Source organism: Homo sapiens, chromosome 7 (assembly GCF_000001405.40).
Source record: "Homo sapiens chromosome 7, GRCh38.p14 Primary Assembly".
In the NCBI taxonomy this organism is placed as follows: domain Eukaryota; kingdom Metazoa; phylum Chordata; class Mammalia; order Primates; family Hominidae; genus Homo; species Homo sapiens.
Window position 1 is genome coordinate 129,948,289 of NC_000007.14, and position 15,356 is coordinate 129,963,644.

The 15,356-nt window shown below is 47.4% G+C and overlaps 1 protein-coding gene and 1 long non-coding RNA gene across 5 annotated transcripts in view, besides 5 other annotated features; one reads left to right on the forward strand and one right to left on the reverse strand.

Annotated features, from left to right (window-relative positions):
* UBE2H (ubiquitin conjugating enzyme E2 H) overlaps window positions 1-4,672 on the reverse strand; it is a 122,229-nt gene extending 117,557 nt beyond the window's left edge. For 2 of the 4 annotated variants that reach the window (NM_182697.3, NM_003344.4), the window contains exon 1: window positions 4,215-4,672. In NM_182697.3, coding sequence (NP_874356.1) covers window positions 4,215-4,267 — 53 coding nt within the window. In that variant the 5' untranslated portion in view covers window positions 4,268-4,672. Of the gene's footprint in view, window positions 1-2,989; window positions 3,033-3,232; window positions 4,173-4,214 lie in introns of those variants that run through there. The other 2 variants (XM_047420796.1, NM_001202498.2) reach the window with 2 other exon arrangements.
* Window positions 459-1,032: an enhancer, noted in NCBI's record as "OCT4-NANOG-H3K27ac hESC enhancer chr7:129588587-129589160 (GRCh37/hg19 assembly coordinates)". NCBI's record gives its function as "activates a minimal SCP1, AML or CMV promoter by ChIP-STARR-seq in naive H9 embryonic stem cells {active_cell/tissue: H9 hESC(naive)}" and the evidence as "EXISTENCE:reporter gene assay evidence [ECO:0000049][PMID:30033119]".
* Window positions 1,033-1,604: an enhancer, noted in NCBI's record as "OCT4-NANOG-H3K27ac-H3K4me1 hESC enhancer chr7:129589161-129589732 (GRCh37/hg19 assembly coordinates)". NCBI's record gives its function as "activates a minimal SCP1, AML or CMV promoter by ChIP-STARR-seq in naive H9 embryonic stem cells {active_cell/tissue: H9 hESC(naive)}" and the evidence as "EXISTENCE:reporter gene assay evidence [ECO:0000049][PMID:30033119]".
* Window positions 2,383-2,432: an enhancer, noted in NCBI's record as "active region_26637". NCBI's record gives its function as "activates an Ori minimal core promoter by ATAC-STARR-seq in GM12878 lymphoblastoid cells {active_cell/tissue: GM12878}" and the evidence as "EXISTENCE:reporter gene assay evidence [ECO:0000049][PMID:35858748]".
* Window positions 4,279-4,398: a silencer, noted in NCBI's record as "silent region_18639". NCBI's record gives its function as "represses an Ori minimal core promoter by ATAC-STARR-seq in GM12878 lymphoblastoid cells {active_cell/tissue: GM12878}" and the evidence as "EXISTENCE:reporter gene assay evidence [ECO:0000049][PMID:35858748]".
* Window positions 4,409-4,508: a silencer, noted in NCBI's record as "silent region_18640". NCBI's record gives its function as "represses an Ori minimal core promoter by ATAC-STARR-seq in GM12878 lymphoblastoid cells {active_cell/tissue: GM12878}" and the evidence as "EXISTENCE:reporter gene assay evidence [ECO:0000049][PMID:35858748]".
* Window positions 4,673-4,778: 106 nt separating the features above from the next.
* UBE2H-DT (UBE2H divergent transcript) overlaps window positions 4,779-15,356 on the forward strand; it is a 73,246-nt gene continuing 62,668 nt past the window's right edge. The window contains exon 1 of the long non-coding RNA XR_007060520.1: window positions 4,779-5,192. This is a non-coding gene — a long non-coding RNA (UBE2H divergent transcript). The remainder of the gene's footprint in view (window positions 5,193-15,356) is intronic.

A 15,356-nucleotide genomic window follows, 5' to 3' on the forward strand; every position in this document is an offset into this window, starting at 1 on the left:
GGGATTACAGGTGTGAGCCACCACACTTGGCCACATCTGAGGTTTTGAATTTGTTAGAGAAAGCTTCTGAAACCCTAAAGCAGACACCAACGATTCTGTAAAATTAACTCAGGCCGTTTTAATGTAAGACACCGTCCCTTTCTATCACACTTGACGCTTTCTTAAGGGAAGCTGACATTTCTGCCATACTTTGGAATCCCTGCAAATGAGTCAGTTAAGTGCATTTAAAGTGGCATGCCCTGGGCCAGGTGCACTGGGCTCACACCTGTAATTCCAGCACTCTGGGAGGCCAAGGCAGGAGGAAGATTTGAGGCCAGGAGTTGGGAGGCCAGCCTGGTAACCTAGTCAGACCTCGGTCTCTACAAAAAATGTAAAAATAAATAAGGGGGGGATCCTATTACTGAACTCCCTCTGAAAAGAAGAATCATTGAAAACTCTTGGTATTGTAAGTTACAAAATTGTACATATGGTGTATGCCGGTCCCCATTATTATCCGATCTACTTTTCTGATTTAACCTTAATTTTTCTAAACATTTCTTGTACTCTAACAGGTCAGGTTTTCCTCTTCTCTTTTTACCCCTCGAAAACACACTTGTTCCTGTAACACCACTCAGAGGGCCTCCCCAGCCCCCACCTCTTTTGTATATAAACACACTCTCTTGTCACATACTCCATCAGCTGTTTGGTAGCTCCTCCCCTCCTCCTTTTCCGGGTAGTAACAGGGCGGCCAATGAGCGCTGAGGAGCGGTGCCTGCGGCCTTTTGCCTGCATACGCTTTTCCAAAACAAGCAGCTCTAGCCTTCAGCAGGGGCCACTGGTTCACAGATGAAAGGATCACCAGGGCTGTGCAACAGGGTGAGACGAGTAACCCCCACCAACAAGGAAACCCGTGTAATCTGAGCTGTTTGTTCCTCCACCAGGGAGAACTTAAACCGATATTCCTTTAGGGCAAATCACGCTTTAAGGTCACCAGAGCCCCAGCTCTCAGACAATCTAAATAATCAGCTGGTTGGAGGTGGAAACCTCAAAGGTTGCCAGGCTCTGGGCAGCACAGATCACCAATCTACCTGACTTTGCAAACAAATGGCCGCACTATTCGAGACTATTCCATAGGATCTGGGCTAACTGCAAGGTTTTTTTACTGGGACACATTCCTAAAGGATCCAAAAGTCATGTAAATCAGTTTCTAGGCTCCTGGGGAGGTTTGCACAACCCTTAGCAAAGGATCAGAAGAGAAACAATGAATGAGTCAGAGTTTCAGAACATAATCACCCAGCAGATTATTAAGTGCATTGGTGCAAAACACTCACTCCCTGCATAACTTGGGAGTCAGCTCTCCTACCAACCCGTCACAAAAGAAATATCACTGACTCCAAACAACAACCAGAGACGGTGTCTCCAAAAGAACCGAGCGAGGTGGTGGAAGGCAGCGGCCAATTAGTTACACATCCTCTTCTCTCCCTACCCCCACACTGCTACTTTCCTACTATATAGGTTCCCTGCCAGGCTGTAAATCGTGGTGGTATAATTACGCTCAGGAGACATCCAAAAATGGGCTGAAACAGGAGACTGCAAGGAAACCAGCTATCGCCCCCCACACCAAAGAAATCATCAAGGGGCATGGGGGGCAAGAAGTGCATTCCTTCAGACCTTTTCTTCCTACTTCCTCTCCACCATCTTTCTCAACCCCCAGCCTTTTCACACAATTGTACTCATTTTAGTAGAGGGCTGGGGAATTTTTCCTTAAATTTTCTGCTAAATATACCTTACTCAAAAATTGTTGGCTCCATTTGGGCCTACTGATCTGTGAATTCAACAGAGAAAGGAGGACACAAAATCTCTCACCTACACAACACACACAAAAGGAAATCCGAAACATTTTAACTTCCAAACTCCATTATACCAGAAAATAAACACGAAACAAAGATAACCTCTGGCTTTTAAATCTCGAAACTGTTATCCTCCTATCTCAGATCTACAATTTTAAAGCGCCTCTGCTTTCTTTTGTCAGAAAGGAAGGAAGGTGGGGAAAGAACAGAAGGCCAATGCATCTTTGCCTTTCTTCATCTTCTACTAAAAATAAGCTATGAAATAAGCCACTTAGGGGGAGAAAAAAAAGACACCCTGCTGTTCTTTGTCTGTTTTCCTCTCCCTCTCCACCCCCCACACCCCGACTCCTAAATGCGGTAATCATTCTAGATGCCACAACTACTAAATGAACAAAAGGCACTGTATGGAAAAGGCATCAGGTCAAGTTAGGCCCCCCTCTTTATCCTCAATCTTTTAAAAATATGTCTATGTACATAATTTGAGACTCTGACAACGATCACAAACAGCTGGAATTGTCTCCCCACTCCATCCCAATTAAACATTAGGTAGAAATTCGCATTAGGTGTGACAGTAACTCTCAATTCAAGATAAAAATAACTCAGATGCTGCCACTATGTCATTTCCTAGTTTCTAAACAAAAATAAAACCCGAAACTGCTTTGTGTAAAATGTACACACAGTCATAGTTACAAGTTTTCCTGCAGCCTTATGAAAAGCCAACATTACTGGTATCATTCACACATTTACAAAACAATCACAGCCACAAACAGCTCATAAAGAGTTGATTTCACTTGCGCCTGAACATATATTGGGTACACTATACTTTATTAGTTGCTCCGCTCTAATCTCCCACTCCCCCAAAAATTCTAAACTCCAAACCACAAACTTAGAAGTCTATCTACTGCTCCTAATTTCTAACCAAGTTTTCCCTGAGCAAGGAGAAAAACACCTTATTTCTGAAAAGATTATTTTTTAAAAATCTCTTGCCCAGACAACTTCCCTCCCATCCCCCACTGCCAAACCATATGCAAAAACTACTTTTTTAAAACTTCAGCAAATTCCCTAACTGAATTTTTTGACAATAACCACTGATCTCTACAAAGAGGTAAAACACTCAATCAAAAACAGCAACAAATAAAAGGAAGAAAAAAGGTATTCACCTGAAGAATTTAGCCAAACAACTTGAGTTATATAAACAAAACCCTGCAACAGGGGGAAACGGTGGGGGGATGGGGAGGAGGGAGAGAAACAGGAGACAGGACTTTTAAACTGTGTTCCACACTACCACCCTCTAAGCCCCCACTTGCCCCCCTCCCCAAGGACTAGCTGTTCAGAACTCTGGGCTCCCCCTACCCTCTAAACTACCCTTCAAAAAAAAAAAATTCTCGATTTGTCACAGGAACCTTCGCGAATTTCTCTAGCTGGTCCTGAAATAATCAGTCTGGACTCCAACCAAAACCACTGCCTGAAGGGCTCTTATCAGTTATAGCTTTCCCACTGCAACCTCCAGAGTGCATAAAGTTGGGGGGAGGGGGCAGAAAATAAAGGGTGTCACTTGGCGACATCAGGGCAAGTATTCCCCCAAGAACCTGACCCTCACAGAGGAAGTTTTGCCCAAGTGGCCAGTCCAGGGACTATTTATTTTGTCCAGGAGCTCCTCTTTCCCCAGCTGTCATACCCACAATATGGAGGGTGGCTTGCTGGAGGGCCCGGGGGTCTTCATCACATACAACTATGGGTGGGACAGGCTTTGTCAGTGGAAAGGAAAACAGTAGGGTTCTCCCGGGGACCAGAAAGCTTAACAGGAGGGACTGACTGAAAACACACAGAGCTCTTTCTTAGAAGAGGGGGCCCTGAGCAGGAGACTCTCTTCCTAATATAGAAAGGAATTAGGGATAAAAGAGGTCGCTTGAGTGACCCCAGTTCAAGCAGCATTGTGGTTGGAGGAAATGGGGGCATCTCAAGAAACGGAGAAAGGCTTCCCTCTCGGGAATTTCTGCCTTGATTCCCTAAATCCAAAGCGAGCAAACAGGAGAGAGAAACCCTGAAAATGGGCTCGGTGGTAGAGAGTGAGGCGACTGGTCGTGCAAAAAGAAAAAAGGCCGTCTCGGGAGTCCAAACGTCGCGGAGGAAAGTCACAGGCTCTGGGGATACAGGAAGAGCGAGCAGCAACGCGTATTTCGGGGTGCTGCGGAGAAAAGGCGAGCTGAAAAGGCTCTCGGCCCCTGGGAGGTGCCAAGGAGCCGCCGTAGGCACTGGGGGAGGAGGGGAGTCTCGGACAGTGGCCTGGAGTGCCCCAGGGCCCTTGCAGTGGTTCCGGGGGTGCCCTGGGCATCCCCACACCGCCCCCCACACACAGCCCGAATTCCCCTCCACGAAGGATACAGCTTGACCACGTCCGTGTCCATCCGCCTCTTGCCCGGACTGGGAGATGACATGGTGTCGCCGCCGCCTCTCTCCCTTCCTCGGCCCGTCTGTCACGGGCCCGGGGCCCCGGCTCTGAGGAGCCCGCGGCCGCGCCGGCTCCTCGGTGGAGGTGGCAACACCCCCGCGGTCCCGGCGGTCCCGTCAGCCGCCGCCGCCGCCCCCCGCACGGGGGAACACCGGGCACTGTCCGGCCGGGTGGGGGTGGGGACCCTGCGGCGCCCGGCTCGGGCTGCCCCTCTCCGGCTGTGGTTCCGCCGCGGCCCTGCCCCGGCGCTCCTCTGCGCCGCGCGACGCTCCCTCCTGCCTGCTGTGGCTCGCTCGCCTGCTCCCCACTCACCCTCTGACCGGCTCCTAGCAGCCTCCACTATAAGCGGACGACTCCTGCTCAGTCGGCCTCCCTACCCCAGCCTCGCTCTGGGCGCCGTGACGTCACCTCTGTGACGTCATCGGAGGGGCGGGTCTGGTCGCTGAGAGGGGTGGGGCGCCGCCGCGGCGTGGGCTTTCCCGGGGAGTTCTGGGAGTTGTAGTTCCTCTTTCTCCGGCTGTCTCACACCCTCTGTCCCCTCCCCCAACTTCCCCACCTACTTCATCCCTCAACTGCCACTGTCGTTATCATCATCCTAAACGATAAGAGTAAATAATGGCAATATTATTACATTCGTGGATTTAAGGGTAATGAACCTCCCTTAACACTCTGTTTAACAAGCTGTTAATTTCTTTGATTTGGAGGAGGCCAAGGTAGCAATTACTCAGGCACCAAAATCTGGAAATCCCCACACCAGCAGGTTCCTTGCACTCCGCTTCCTCGTTGGCTGGAGAGAATTTGTTTCCAAGGATTGTAGACCACAGCAAGGCTTCCTCAGGCTTGCATACCAGGGTATGCAGTGTCTACGGCCACTATTTCAAAGATTAGAGTTGACGCAGCAAGGTGGTAAGGTCAGAAATAATTTAGTATTAATATCCTTATTCTACAGAGCATGAGGCAACTTCGCAAAGTGTGTGAACCTCCTACACCAACCTTAAATACTTCATTCATCCAATAAATATTTATTTAGCACCTCCTACGTGCTAATCACCTTGCTGGACATGAGGGATATAATGGTGAACTAAGAAAGACTAAATTTAGCCGGGCACGGTGGCTCACGCCTGTAATCCCAGCACTTTGGGAGGCCGAGGCTGGTGGATCACCTGAGGTCGGGAGTTCCAGACCAGTCTGGCCAATATGGTGAAACCCCGTCTCTACTAAAAATACAAAAATTAACCAGGCGTGGTGGCGGGCGCCTGTAGTCCCAACTACTCGCGAGGCTGAGGCAGGAGAATCGCTTGAACCCGGGAGGCAGAGGTCGCAATGAGCCAAGATCATGCCACTGCACTCCAGCCTAGGCAACAGAGCAAGATCTGTTTCCAAAAGATAAAGAAAGACTAAATTTACGCAGCCCCCTAGTATAGCCTGTGGATCTATAGTATCAGCATCGCCTGGGAACTTGTTAGAAATGCCGCTAGAGCTTCACTTCAGATCTACTGAATGAGAATTTGCAGTTTTAACAAGGTCCCCAGGTGATTCTTATGCACAGTGAAGTCTGGAAAAATACTGCCCTATAAGGTCCTCCAAAAGAAGTGATATGGAACTCAGGAGTCAACCAGGCAAAGGGGCCAGTGAAGAGTGTTCCAGGCATCGCCTATATTTATGTCATATTTTCACTACCTTTTCAAAAGTTTTATCTTTTCCCTCATTCCCATGAATATACACTTGTACTTTGTCAGACCATGTGTTGTGAGTTGAGCCTTCCTTACATAATCTCCTATGCACACACACCTGGGGCAGCAGCAATGAGCTAAGATTGAACATCTTTTGCAGCTATCATTTCATGCCTCAAAAAACTTGTGCTTTTTAAATTGTAAAACATACGTAACATAAAATTTAACATTTTAACCATATTTAAAGGTATAATTCAATAGGATTAAATACATTCACAATGTCGTGCAACCATCACACTACCCATTTCCAGAACGTGTTCACCATCCCAAACATTAAACAATAACCCCTTCCCCCCCAGCCCTTGATAACCTCTCTTTATGTTCTGAAAAAGGTGGGCTATTTTAGCTGTTTCTGAAAGGAGTGTATTGTTCTTTCAAATTGTACATAGCTGCTGGTCCAGGTGCAGTGGTGTTTAAAACTAATTGATCACAACCAGTTACAGATTTCTTTGTTCCTTCTACACGCCCACTGCTTCACTTGACTAGCTTTAAAAAACAATAAAAATAAATTGCATGGCCGGGTGCGGTGGCTCACGCCTGTAATCCCAGCACTTTGGGAGGCCGAGGTGGGGCGGATCACGAGGTCAGGAGTTTGAGACCAGCCTGGCCAGCGTAGTGAAACACCGTCTCTACTAAAAATACAAAAATTAGCCAGCTGTGGTGGCACAAACCTGTAGTCCCAGCTACTCGGGAGGCTGAGGCGGGAGAATCACTTGAACCCGGGAGGCGGAGGTTGCAGTGAGCAAGACCACACCATTGCACTCCAGCCTGGGTGACAGAGTGAGACTCCATCTCAAAATAAATAAATGCATTGCGCATAGAAAACCACACAGAGAAGGAGGACACGTCTGAACGAAGACATTTCTTTCTTTTTTTTTTTTTTTCAGACAAAGTCTCGCTCTTGTCCCCCAGGCTGGAGTGCAATGGCCCGGTCTCAGCTCACTGCAACCTCCGCCTCCCGGGTTCAAGCAATTCTCCTGCCCCAGCCTTCAGAGTAGCTGGGATTGCAGGTGCCCACCACCATGCCCAGCCAATTTTTGTATTTTAAATAGAGACGGGGTTTCACCATGTTGGCCAGGCTGGTCTCGAACTCCTGACCTCAGGTGATCCGCCCTCCTTGGCATCCCAAAGTGCTGGGATTACAGGCGTGAGCCACCGCACCCGGCCTGAACGAAGAGATTTCTATAACCTCCTTTATTTGACCACTTTGTTCAAGGGAGATAAAGACAGAGCAGAGATTTGTCTTCCTGACAGTGTCTCCTCTTGGGCTCTCTGCACTTCTGTTACTGCTACCTCCTCTCCTAAAATGACTTCCCACTGTCTTTCACCTGATTAACTCTAAGACAGTGCTATAACTGGTTCTCAAACTTTGGTGTTCTTCAGAATCACCTGGGGGGCTTGTTAAGCTCACAGATGGCCAGGCCCCACCCCTGGGAATTCTGACTCAGAAGTTCTGGGGTGGGGCTTGGACATCCTAGTCATTAACAAGCTCCCCAGATGATTCTGATCAGGCCAAAGTTGGAGAACCACTGACTTTAAGATTCTAGCAGGCATCACCACTTTGAAAATACCTGTCTGACTACTCAAGGTGAGTTAACTGCTCCCATAATGTCCTATGCAAATAAGGGAAGGTCTGAGTGCCCTCCAAAGTTTCCCCCCAACCCGAGAGCAACAGTGGCAAGCTTAGAGGACCCAAAGATGTTGTTTCTGGAACCCAGAGTGTGGAGTCCAGAAACAGGTTAGGTTATGATAGAACAGGTTAAGGAAGGGACACTTCGGAAACAAGGACATGGAGTAGAGCCTAGAAATTTTCCCTGGTGCTTTACTCTTCACCAATGCTTACTAGGCAAAAAATAATCAAAAGGTTGTTTAGAGAAATTAGTTGCAGATGATACTGGAGAATGCGGGCTGCTCTACTTAAAAATGCAATGAAGATTTAGTTAGCCCTCTGAGCAGTCACTGAAAAAGAATCCGGCTGGGTATGGTGGCTCATACCTGTAATCCCAGCACTTTGGGAGGCCAAGATGGGAGGATCTCTTGAAGCCAGGAGTTCGAGACCAGGCTGGGCAACATAGCAAGATCCCTACCTCTACAAAAAAAAATTTTTTTTAATAAAGGAATCATCCTAAAGAAGGGTTTTTTTTTTTTAGGCCGGGTGTGGTGGCTCACGACTGTAATCCCAGCACTTCGGAAGGCCAAGGCGGGCAGATCATGAGGTCAGGAGATGGAGACCATCCTGCCTAACACAGTGAAACCCAGTCTCTACTAAAAATACAAAAAAAAATTAGCCAGGCGTGGTGGCAGCCGCCTGTAGTCCCAGCTACTCGGGAGGCTGAGGCAGGAGAATGGCGTGAACCCGGGAGGCGGAGGTTGCAGTGAGCCGAGATCGCGCCACTGCACTCCAGCCTGGGTGACAAAGCAAGACTCCATCTCAAAAAACAAAGAAGGGTTATTTTTGGCTGGGCACGGTGGCTCACGCCTGTAATCCCAGCACTTTGGGAAGCCGAGGTGGGTAAATCACCTGACGTCAGGAGTTCAAGACCAGCCTGGCCAACATGGTGAAACCCCGTCTCTACTAAAAATACAAAATAGGCATGGTGATGCACTCCTGTAATCCCAACTTGAACCTGGGAGGTGGAGGTTGCAGTGAGTGGAGATCACGCCATTGCACTCCACCCTGACGGCAAGACTCTGTCTCAAAAAAAAAATTGTGTCTTTATTTTATTCATTTATTTATTTTTGAGACAAAGTCTCACTCTGTCGCTCAGGCTGGAGTGCAGCGGCACGATCTCAGCTCACTGCAACCTTCACCTCCTGGGTTCAAGCAATTCTTCTGCCTCAGCCTCCCTAGTAGCTGGGACTACAGGCACATGCCACCACGCCCAGCTAATTTTTGTATTTTTAGTAGAAACGGGGTTTCACCATGTTGATCAGGCTGGTCTCGAACTCCTCACCTCAAATGATCCTCCTGCCTCAGCCTCCCAAAGTGCTGGGATTACAGGCATAAGCCACCATGCCCAGCCAAGTTATTGTGTCTTTAGTTATGTATCTAGGTCTGGGTTACTTAAGACAAACCTACCCCTTCCCAGCTTTTAAATCTCAGTTAATTTCATGTATCTTTGAGCCTCAGTTTTCTCATCTGTAAAATGTAGCTCACAATGTCTTACCCACTCAAATGTGTTGATGCAGTAAATGGAAAAGATTAATGTAAAAACTCCTTGTAAACTATAAATGGCTTTCATAAAGGTAATGTGAAGTGTTGATTACAAGGTATAATGTGATGGTGGTACTACCATATAATTATTAATATCAATCCTCCATTTGCCCCATTTTTTGCTCATGTATATCATTTAAGGAGTAGCCACTCTCTTTTTTTTTTTTTTTTTGGTCTCAAGATCTGTCTGTTCATTTTTTGGGGGATTTTTTTTCTTTTCTTTTCTTTTCTTTTCTGAGACGAAGATTCACTGTTGTCACACAGGCTGGAGTGCAATGGCATGATCTCCGCTCACTGCAATCTCCGCCTCTTAGATTCAAGCAATTCTCCAGCTTCAGCCTCCTGAGTAGCTGGGATTACAGGTGCGCCACCACCATGCCTGGCTAATTTTTGTATTTTTAGTAGAGACAGGGTTTCACCATGTTGGCCAGGCTGCTCTCTAACTCCTGACGTTAGGTAATCTGCCTGCCTCAGCCTCCCAAAGTGCTGGGATTACAGGCATGAGCCACCGCGCCCAGCATTTCTTTTTTTTTTCTTTTGAGACAAGGTCTCGCTCTGTCGCCCAGGCTGGAATGCAGTAATGCAGTCATAGCTCACTGCAGCCTCAACCTCCCAGACTCAAGTGATCCTCCTGCCCCAGCCTCCCGAGTAGCTGGTACTACATGTGCTATGCCACCACACTTGGCTACTTTTTCATTTTTAATTTTTTGTAGAGACAGGGTCTCACTGTGTTGCCCAGACTGCTCTTAAATTCCTGGGCTTAAGCAAGTGATCCTCCCACCTCCGCCTCCCAAAATGTTGGGATTAATGGCATGAGCCACTGTGCTGGCCTTTTTTCCTGTTTTTGAAGATGCCATGGCATTGATTCCCTCTCTTTGCGGTGAAGGTATGTTCATGTTTTTATAAGACATCTTTTTTCTCTGGGCATTTTGCCATTTGTTCCTTCATAAACCCACCTCCCCTCTTCTGACCTCCTCCTCATCCCTCCACTTTAATCCTTCCTTTTTCTTTCCAGAGCTGAGCCCACCCTTGACCAGGTAGGTTCAAAAAGCAGTCCCAAAGCACAGCCAAATGACAGCCCTGGTTTTACTTATTTTGGCTTATGAAACTGGAGCCCTCCTTGAGCAGAAGTGAGTTTGCTAAGCTCACCAATGTATTCTGCCATTCAGAATGTCTGTCATTTCCTCTAAGACAACACTGAGGCTGGGAGTGTCTGTTTATATGTGGTGCACACGCAGCCACCCTGTGCCCTGTGCTGGAATGAGTGACGGTCTTCCTTATCAGGTATAGCCAGGGGGTGCCTGTGAGGAACAGCTGTCCGACCCTGCCTGACTCACCAGTGTTGCAATCTGGGAAATGTATTCAGGGCCTGTTTATCTCTGCCCAGGGCAGGGCCAAGCTTGACCCACGAAGCCTCCGATCTCAGGAGCAGCTTCTCCAGGGCAAGAAAACAAGTTTGGAGAGAATCTAATGCTTTCAGCAAGACACTCAGACGGAGTAAGATGAAACTGGTTATTTGGTGGAATGAGTAGCAGAGCCCAGGCCAGAAGCTGCTCTGTCTCTGAAGTTACCTGTTAACTCCAACAGCTCTGGAACCAAAGTGAATTGATCCGTGTCCCCACCAAGTGTGAAAATCCCCCCCCAGAAAGCCCCCCAATTCCATTTCACTGCTTCTCACTGGGAAAGTGGTTCATTTTGAGCTGGCATTCTTGGCGTTTGTGATCACAGGTCTAGGCCCTTCTAGAAGGTAATCGTGTCAGTAGTTTCTTTGCTGCTGTGGAAATAAAAGCTTCAAGTTATCTACATGTAACTTTGTAACAGTTTGTCCCCAGAGAAGTAGTCAGATTTCAGGAGCATGTGGCATGATTCAGTTAGCCCATGGGACTTAGAGGAAGAAGACCCCTTCCAGCCTAGGATTTACCTGTTATTGATATAACTTGGGCAAGTAACTGAACCTTTATGCCTCAGTTTCCTCATCTATAAAACAGGATGATAGCACCTGTACTTCCTTTGCCTAGGTCAAATAGGATCAAATAGGAGATGATGCAACCTCTGATGTGCTAGTCATCTATAAAGTATTATCCTGTCCCCCGTACACACACACACACACACACACAGACACACACACACACACACACATACTCCCCAATGCCGAGCTTCAAGGAGGAAGTGAGGCTGGAAATTATTCATGCCTACATTGAAAGAGCTCTCACTTGGGCCACCTCCCCTGTTCGGAGCCCGCATGTTGTCAGTTGCAGCCTCCTGCCTTGCCTTCGCTGCTTTCTCGTCTCTCTGGTCTGGAAATGCCGGAAGCCCCAGACTCAGTTCTCACGTCTCTATCTACTCTTCTTTATCTACAGTTAATACCTAAGTGACTTTACCCAACCTCAAAGCTTTATATGCCATCTATACTTTGACTCCCTAATGTACATTCCTGATATGGGCCCTTGCCCCCATGTTATTGTTTGAATGTCCCCTCCAAAACTCATGTTGAAATTTGCCAATGTGATGATATTTAGAGATGGAATATTGGCTAGGTGCAGTGGCTCATGCCTGTAATCCCAGTGCTTTGAAAGGCCAAGCAGAAGGATCGTTTGAGACCAGACTGGGCAACATAGTGAGACCCCTGTCTCTATAAAAATGTTTTAAAAATTAGCCAGGCGTGGTGGCGCATGCCGGTAGTCTCAGCTATTTGGTAGGCTGAGGTGGGAGGATCACTTGAGCCCAGGAGTTGGAGGCTGCAGCGAGCTATGATCAAGCGAGTCACTGCACTCTATCCTGGGTGACAGAGTAACACCCAGACTCTTAAAGGTCTCACCTCTTCTTTTTTTTTGAGACGGAGTTTAGCTCTTGTTGCCCAAGCTGGAGTGCAATGGTGCCATCTTGGCTCACTGCAACCTCTGCCTCCCAGGTTAAAGCGATTCTCCTGCCTCAGCCTCTCAAGTAGCTGGGATTACAGACACCCGCCACCATACCCAGCTAATTTTTTTGCGTATTTTTGGTAGAAACAAGGTTTCACCATGTTGGCCAGGCTGGTCTGAAACTCCTGACCTCAGGTGATGCACCCACCTCGGCCTCCCAAAGTGCTGGGATTGCAGGCGTGAGCCACCACACCTAGCTTCTCTTTTATTTTTAATTAATTAATTAATTAATTAATATATTTATTTTTGAGACAGAGTTTTGCTTTTGTTGCCCAGGCTGGAGTGCAATGGCGCGATCTCGGCTCACCACAACCTCCGCCTCCTGGGTTCAAGCGATTCTCCTGCCTCAGCCTCCCAAGTAGCTGGGATCACAGGAATGTGCCACCACACCCGGCTACTTTTGTATTTTTAGTAGAGATGGGGTTTTTCCATGTTGGTCAGGCTAGTCTCGAACTCCCAACCTCAGGTGATCCACCCGCCTCAGCCTCCCAAAGGGCTGGGATTATAGGCATGAGCCACCGCACCCGGCGACTATTCATTTATTTTTTGAGATGGAGTTTTGCTCTTATTGCCCAGGCTGGAATGCAGTGGCGTGATCTCGGCTCACAGAAACCTCTGCCTCCTGGGTTCAAGCGATTCTCCTGCCTCAGCCTCCCAAATAGCTGGGATTCCAGGCATGTGCCACCACGCCCAGCTAATTTTGTATTTTTAGTAGAGACTGGGTTTCTCCATGTTGGTCAGGCTGGTCTCAAACTCTTGACCTCAGGTGATCCACTTGCCTGGGCCTCCCAGAGTGCTGGGATTACAGGCGTGAGCCACTGCACCCAGCTGTCTTTTCTTTTTTAAGAGGTGATTAGGTTGTGAGGGCTCTGTGTTATTCTGTTATAGCAACAGAAAAAAGACTAAGACACCCCTGAACTCAGAGGCATATACATAGCTGCCTGTGCGACATCTCATGTCCAAAAATAAATTTCTGATACCACCTCCTCACCTCTTCCTCACATACTTTTCCCCATCTCAGTCAATGACAACTATTAAGTTGAAATATATGAAATTGCCTTTTAAGGTTAAGAACTATCAAATATTGGTGATTTCATTTGGTTCAACCTAATACATTCTTCTAGCTGCTCAGGCCAAGGGCCTTGAATTACGGTCCCCGACCCTTCTTGTTCTTTAGCCCCTTCATCCAATTATCAGGAAATCCTGTTGGCCCTACCGTCAAAATATATCCAGAATCTTTTCCTTGCCTTCTCTACCAAGCCATCATCTCTTACATAGATTGCTATAATCACTTCCCAGTTGGCCTCACTTCTTCAAACCCTGTATTCAACTCAGAAGCCAGTGAGCCTAACTATAAAGCAAATCTTGTCTCCCTACTGTTCAAAACCCTCCAAGAGCTTCCCAGTTCACATCGTGACATCATGTAAAAGTCAAAGCCATCACAGGCATTCAAAGCCCTACAGGAGCTGCCCTATCCGATTCTGTCACTCACTCCTTTCTACCCACACTGGTCTTTTTCATTTTTTCTTTTTTCACATGTAGATATATATTTTAAGACTAGTCAAGTGAAGCAGTGGGGATGGAGAAGGAACAAAGAAATCTGTAATCAAGAGTTGTAAACACTGCACTCAGACCAGCCCACATTGGGTTTCTTGCTGTTCCTCATATACACCAAGCATGCCCCGGCCTGGGGTCCTTTGCACTTTGCTACTTTCTCAGCCTAAAATATTCTTCCCCTAGATAAGCATATGGCCTGCTCCCTAATGTCCTTTGAGTCTTTGCTGAAATGTCACCTTCTCAGTAGAGCCTTCCCTGAGCACCTTAGTATTTAATTATTTAGAGATAGGGCCTTGCTCTGTCGTCCAGGCTAGAGTGTCTTGGTGCTATTATGCCTCACACAGCCTCAAACTCCCAGGCTCAAGTGATCCTCCCACCTCAGGCCCCCAAGTAGCTGGGACTACAGCTGTGTGCCACCATACCTGGCTGACTTTTTTTTTTTTTTGGTAGACATAGGGTCTCGCTATGCTGCCCAGGCTGGTCTTGAACTCCTGGGCTCAGGTTACCCTCCTACCTCAGACTCCCAAAGTGCTGGAATTATAGACATGAGCCGCTGTACCCAGCTTATTTATTGATTGATTTTTGAGACAGAGTCTCACTCTGTCAACCAGGGTGGAGTGCAATGGCACAATCTCCACTCACTGCAACCTCCCTCTCCCAGGTTCAAGTGATTCTCATGTCTCACCCTTCCAAATAGCTGGGATTACAGGCACCTGCCACCATGCCTGGCTAATTTTTGTATTTTCAGTAGAGACGGGGTTTTGCCATGTTGGCCAGGCTGGTCTATGAACTCCTGACCTCAGGTGATCCATCCGCCTCGGCCTCCCAAAGTGCTGGGATTACAGGCATGAGCCACTGCGACCAGCCTATTTATTTATTTATTTATTTATTTATTATTATTTTTTGAGACAGAGTCTCGCCCTGTCACCCAGGCTGGAGTGCAGTGACATGATTGCGGCTCACTGCAACCTCCGCCTCCCGGGTTCAAGCGATTCTTCTGCCTCAGCCTCCCAAGTAGCTGGGACTATAGGCGCGTGCCACCACACCTGGCTAATTTTTGTAGTTTTTAGTAGAGGTGGGGTTTCACCATGTTGGCCAGGCTGGTATTGAACTTCTGACCTCGTGATCCACCCACCTTGGCCTCCCAAAGTGCTAGGATTACAGGCGTGAGCCACCGCGCCCGGCCATTTATTTATTTTTTAGAGACAGGTTCTCACTATTTTGCCCAGGCTGGCCTTGGATTCCTGAGCTCAAGCGATCCTCCCATCTCACCATCCTGAGTATCTGGAATAATAGGCATAAGCCACTGTGCCCACCTTAAATTGCGGTACCAACTCTACCCCAGTACATCCTCTTCCTTTTTCTTTTGTTTTTCCTCCCGAGGACTTACTACCATCTCATATACTGTGTTTTACTCATATACTTTATTTAATTCAGGATGTAAGTGCAGGAAGAGAGGGACCTTTGTCTAATTCACTGTTGTATATCCAATGTCTAGAGTGGTATGTGGTACATAGTAAGTGTTCAAATAGTAAATGAATGAAATGAAGAAGGAAGACCGGCTGAAAAGGCAACAAAAAATTAAAAGCTTAAAGGAGCTCCTTGGAAGCTCACAAAGTTAATTCTTCCTAACGGTCCGTATAAAGTGGC